The sequence below is a fragment of the Homo sapiens genome, chromosome 10, assembly GCF_000001405.40.
Source record: "Homo sapiens chromosome 10, GRCh38.p14 Primary Assembly".
NCBI lineage: Eukaryota > Metazoa > Chordata > Mammalia > Primates > Hominidae > Homo > Homo sapiens.
Window position 1 is genome coordinate 45341839 of NC_000010.11, and position 5582 is coordinate 45347420.

Sequence of the window (5582 nt, forward strand, 5' to 3'; positions counted from 1 at the left end):
GTTCTACACCCACAGAGCCTCACTCTTTGCTAGCACAGCAGTCTGAGACCAAACTGTAAGGCGGCAGCGAGGCTGGGGGAGGGGTGCCCGCCATTGCCCAGGCTTGAGTAGGTAAACAAAGCAGCCGGGAAGCTTGAACTGGCTGGAGCCCACCACAGCTCAAGGAGGCCTGCATGCCTCTGTACACTCCACCTCCAGGGGCAGGGCACAGACAAACAAAAGACAGCAATAACCACTGCAGACTTAAATGTCCCTGTCTGACAGCTTTGAAGAAAGAAGTGGTTCTCCCAGCACACAGCTTGACATCTGAGAATGGGCAGACTGCCTCCTCAAGTGGGTCCCTGACCCCCGAATAGCCTAACTGGGAGGCACCCCCTAGTAGGGGCAGACTGACACCTCACACGGCTGGGTACTCCTCTCAGACAAAACTTCCAGAGGAATGATCAGGCAGCAACATTTGCTGTTCACCAATATCCACTGTTCTGCAGCCTCTGCTGCTGATACCCAGGCAAACAGGGTCTGGAGTGGACCTCCAGTAAACTCCAACAGACCTGCAGCTGAGGGTCCTGAATTCTAGAAGGAAAACTAACAAACAGAAAGGACATCCACACCAAAACCCCATCTGTACGTCACCATCATCAAAGACCAAAGGTAGATAAAACCACAAAGATGAGGAACAAACAGAGCAGAAAAACTGGAAGCTCTAAAAATCAGAGTGCCTCTCCTCCTCCAAAGGAACACGGCTCCTCACCAGCAACAGAACAAACCTGGATGGAGAATGACTTTGACGAGTTGAGAGAAGAAGGCTTCAGATGATCAAACTACTCTGAGCTAAAGGAGGAAGTCCGAACCCATGGCAAAGCAGTTAAAAACCTTGAAAAAAAATTAGATGAATGGCTAACTAGAATAACCAATGCAGAGAAGTCCTTAAATGACCTGATGGAGCAGAAAACCATGGCATGAGAACTACATGATGAATGCACAAGCCTCAGTAGCTGATTCAATCAACTGGAAGAAAGGGTATTGGGGATGGAAAATCAAATCAATGAAATGAAGCATGAAGAGAAGTTTAGAGAAAAAAGAAAAAAAAAATGAACAAAGCCTCCAAGAAACATGGGACTATGTGAAAAGACCAAATCTACATCTAATTGGTGTACCTGAAAGAGACGGGGAGAATGGAACCAAGTTGGAAAACACTCTGCAGGATATTATCCAGGAGAACTTCCCCAATCTAGCAAGGCAGCCCAACATTCAAATTCAGGAACTACAGAGAATGCCACAAAGATACTCCTCGAGAGGAGCAACTCCAAGACACATAATTGTCAGATTCACCAAAGTTGAAATCAAGGAAAAAATGTTGAGAGCAGCCAGAGAGAAAGGTCAGGTTACCCACAAAGGGAAGCCCATCAGACTAACAGCTCATGTCTTGGCAGAAACTCTACAAGCCAGAAGAGAGTGAGGGCCAATATTCAACATTCTTAAAGAAAAGAATTTTCAACCCAGAATTTCATATCCAACCAAACTAAGCTTCATAAATGAAGGAGACATAAAATCCTTTACAGACAAGCAAATGCTGAGAGATTTTGTCACCACCAGGCCTGCCCTAAAAGAGCTCCTGAAGGAAGCACTAAACATGGAAAGGGGCAACCCATACCAGCCACCACAAAAACATGCCACATTGTAAAGACCATCGATGCTAGGAAGAAACTGCATCAACTAACTAGCAAAATAACCAGCTAACATCATAATGACAGGATCAAATTCACACATAACAATATTAACCTTAAAAGTAAATGGGCTAAATGTTCCAGTTAAAAGACACAGACTGGAAAACTGGATAAAGAGTCAAGACCCATCAGTGTGCTGTATTCAGGAAACCCATCTCACATGCAGAGACACACATAGGTTCAAAATAAAGGGATGGAGGAAGATCTACCAAGCAAATGGAAAACAAAGGCAGGGGTTGCAATCCTAGTCTCTGATAAAACAGACTTTAAACCAACAAAGATCAAAAGAGACAAAGAAGGCCATTACACAATGGTAAAGGGATCAATTCAACAAGAAGAGCTAACTATACTAAACATACATGCACCCAGTACAGGGGCACCCAGATTCATAAAGCAAGTCCTTAGAGATCTACAAAGAGAATTAGACACCCACACAATAATAATGGGAGACTTTAACACCCCACTGTCAACATTAGACAGATCAACGAGACAGAAAGTTAACAAGGATACCCAGGAATTGAACTCAGCTCTGCACCAAGCGGACCTAATAGACATCTACAGAACTCTCCACCCCAAATCAACAGAATATACATTTTTTTTAGCACCACACCACACCTATTCCAAAATTGACCACATAGTTGGAAGTAAAGCTCTCCTCAGCAAATGTAAAAGAACAGAAATTGTAACAAACTATCTCTCAGACCACAGTGCAATCAAACTAGAACTCAGGACTAAGAAACTCACTCAAAACCACTCAACTACATGGAAACTGAACAACCTGCTCCTGAATGACTACTGGGTACATAATGAAATGAAGGCAGAAACAAAGATATTCTTTGAAACCAATGAGAACAAACACACAACATACCAGAATCTCTGGGACATATTCAAAGCAATATGTAGAAGGAAATTTATAGCACTAAATGCCCGCATGAGAAAGCAGGAAAGATCTAAAATTGACACCCTAACATCACAATGAAAAGAAATAGAGAAGCAAGAGCAAACACATTCAAAAGCTAGCAGAAGGCAAGAAATAACTAAGATCAGAGCAGAACTGAAGGAAATAGAGACACAAAAAACCCTTCAGAAAATCAATGAATCCAGGAGCTGGTTTTTTGAAAAGATCAACAAAATTGATAGACCGCTAGCAAGACTAATAAAGAAGAAAAGACAGAAGAATCAAATAGATGCAATAAAAAATGATAAAGGGGATATCGCCACTGATCCCACAGAAATATAAACTACCATCAGAGAATATTATAAACACCTCTATGCAAATAAACTAGAAAATCTAGAAGAAATGGAAAAATTCCTCCATACATACACCCTCCCAAGACTAAACCAGGAAGAAGATGAATCTCTGAATAGACCAATAACAGGCTCTGAAATTGAGGCAACAATTAATACCTTACCAACCAAAAACAGTCCAGGACCTGAAGGATTCACAGCCGAATTCTACCAGAGGTACAAGGAGGAGCTGGTACCATTCCTTCTGAAACTATTCCAATCAATAGAAAAAGAGGGAATCCTCCCTACCTCATTTTATGAGGCTAGCATCATCCTGAGACCAAAGCCTGGCAGAGACACAACAAAAAAAACAATTTTAGACCAATATCCCTGATGAACATCGATGCAAAAATCCTCAATAAAATACTGGCAAACCGAATCCAGCAGCACATCAAAAAGCTTATCCACCATGATCAAGTGGGCTTCATCCCTGGGATGCAAGGGCTGGTTCAACGTACACAAATCAATAAATGTAACCCAGTATACAAACAGAACCAATGACAAAAACCACATGATTATTTCAATAGATGCAGAAAAGGCCTTTGACAAAATTCAGCAACGCTTCATGCTAAAAACTCTCAATAAATTAGGTATTGATGAGATGTATCTCAAAATAATAAGAGCTATCTATGACAAACCCACAGCCAATATCATACATCATGGGCAAAAACTGGAAGCATTCCCTTTGAAAACTGGCACAAGACAGGGATGCCCTCTCTCACCACTCCTATTCAACATAGTGTTGGAAGTTCTAGCCAGGGCAATCAGGCAAGAGAAGGAAATAAAGGGCATTCGATTAGGAAAAGAGGAAGTCAAATTGTCCCTGTCTGCAGATGACATGATTGTATACCTAGAAAACCCCATCGTCTCAGCCCAAAATCTCCTTAAGCTGATAGGCAACTTCAGCAGAGTCTCAGTATACAAAATCAATGTGTAAAAATCACAAGCATTCTTATACACCAATAACAGACAAACAGAGAGCCAAATCATGAGTGAACTCCCATTCACAATTGCTTCAAAGAGAATAAAATACCTAGGAATCCAACTTACAAGGGATGTGAAGGACCTCTTCAAGGAGAAATATAAACCACTGCTCAAGGAAATAAAAGAGGATACAAACAAATGGAAGAACATTCCATGCTCATGGGTAGGAAGAATCAATATCGTGAAAATAGCCATACTGCCCAAGGTAATTTATAGAGTCATTGCCATCCCCATCAAGCTACCAATGACCTTCTTCTCAGAATTGGAAAAAAACTACTTTAAACTACATATGGCTCTCCCTCTCCCTCTCCCTCTCCCTCTCCCTCTCCCTCTCCCTCTCCTTCTCCCTCTCCCTTTCTTTGTTTCTTCAGTCTCCCTCTGTTGCCGAGGCTGGACTGTACTGCCATGGTCTCGGCTCGCTGCAGCCTCCCTGCCCTGGGCTCCCATGGTTCCCCTGCCTCGGCCTGCCGAGTGCCTGGGATTGTGGGTGCGCGCTGCCATGCCTTACTGGTTTTTGTATTTTTGGAGGAGACGGGGTTTCACCATGTTGACCGGGCTGGTCTCCGGCTCCTGACCTCGAGTGGTCTGCCCGCCTCGGCCTCCCAGGGTGCTGGGATTGCAGACGGAGTCTCACTCACTCAATGCTCAGTGTTGCCCAGGCTGGAGTGCAGTGGCGTGATCTCGGCTCACCACAACCTCCACCTTCCAGCCGCCTGCCTTGGCCTCCCAAAGTGCTAAGATTACAGCCTCTGCCCGGCCGCCACCCCGTCTGGGAAGTGAGGAGCATCTCTTCCTGGCCGCCCATTGTCTGGGATGTGAGGAGGGCTTCTGCCCGGCTGCCCCATCTGGGATATGAGGAGCGACTATGCCTGGCCACCCCATCTGGGAAGTGAGGAGCGCCTCTGCCCAGTCGCCCCATCTGGGAGGTGAGGAGCACCTCTGCCCAGCCGCCACCCCATCTGGGAGGTGAGGAGCACCTCTGCCCGGCCACCACCCCATCTGGGAGGTGAGGAGCACCTCTAACTGGCCACCTCCCCGTCTGGGATGTGAGGAGTGCCTCTGCCCAGCCGCCGGGTCTGGGAAGTGAGGAGTGCCTCTGCCTGGCCACCCCATCTGGGAAGCGAGGAGCGCCTCTGCCCAGCTGCCACCCCATCTGGGAAGTGAGGAGCGTCTCTGCCTGGCCGCCCATCGTCTGGGATGTGAGGAGCACCTATGCCTGGCCGCCCCATCTGGGAAGTGAGGAGCGCCTCTGCCCGGCTGCTCTGTCTGGGAGGTGAGGAGCGCCTCTGCCCGGCTGCCACCCCATCTGGGAGGTGAGGAGAGCCTCTGCCCAGCTGCCACCCAATCTGGGAGGTGACAAGTGCCTCTGCCTGGCCACCATCCCATCTGGGAGGTGAGGGGCCTATCTGCCCAGCCACCCTTCGTCTGGGAGGTGGGGAGCACCTCTGCCCGGCCGCCCTTCATCTGGGAGGTGGGAAGCGCCTCTGCCCGGCCACCCCATCTGGGAAGTGGGCGCCTCTGCCTGGCCATCCCATCTGGGAGGTGAGGAGTGCCTCTGCCCGGCCACCCCGTCTGGGAAGTGAG

General features: G+C 47.0%; 1 annotated feature.

Annotated features, from left to right (window-relative positions):
* Positions 1968-2169: a silencer, noted in NCBI's record as "fragment chr10:45839254-45839455 (GRCh37/hg19 assembly coordinates)". NCBI's record gives its function as "represses an EF-1alpha promoter that drives an FKBP-Casp9 reporter gene in an ReSE screen in K562 erythroleukemia cells {active_cell/tissue: K562}" and the evidence as "EXISTENCE:reporter gene assay evidence [ECO:0000049][PMID:32094911]".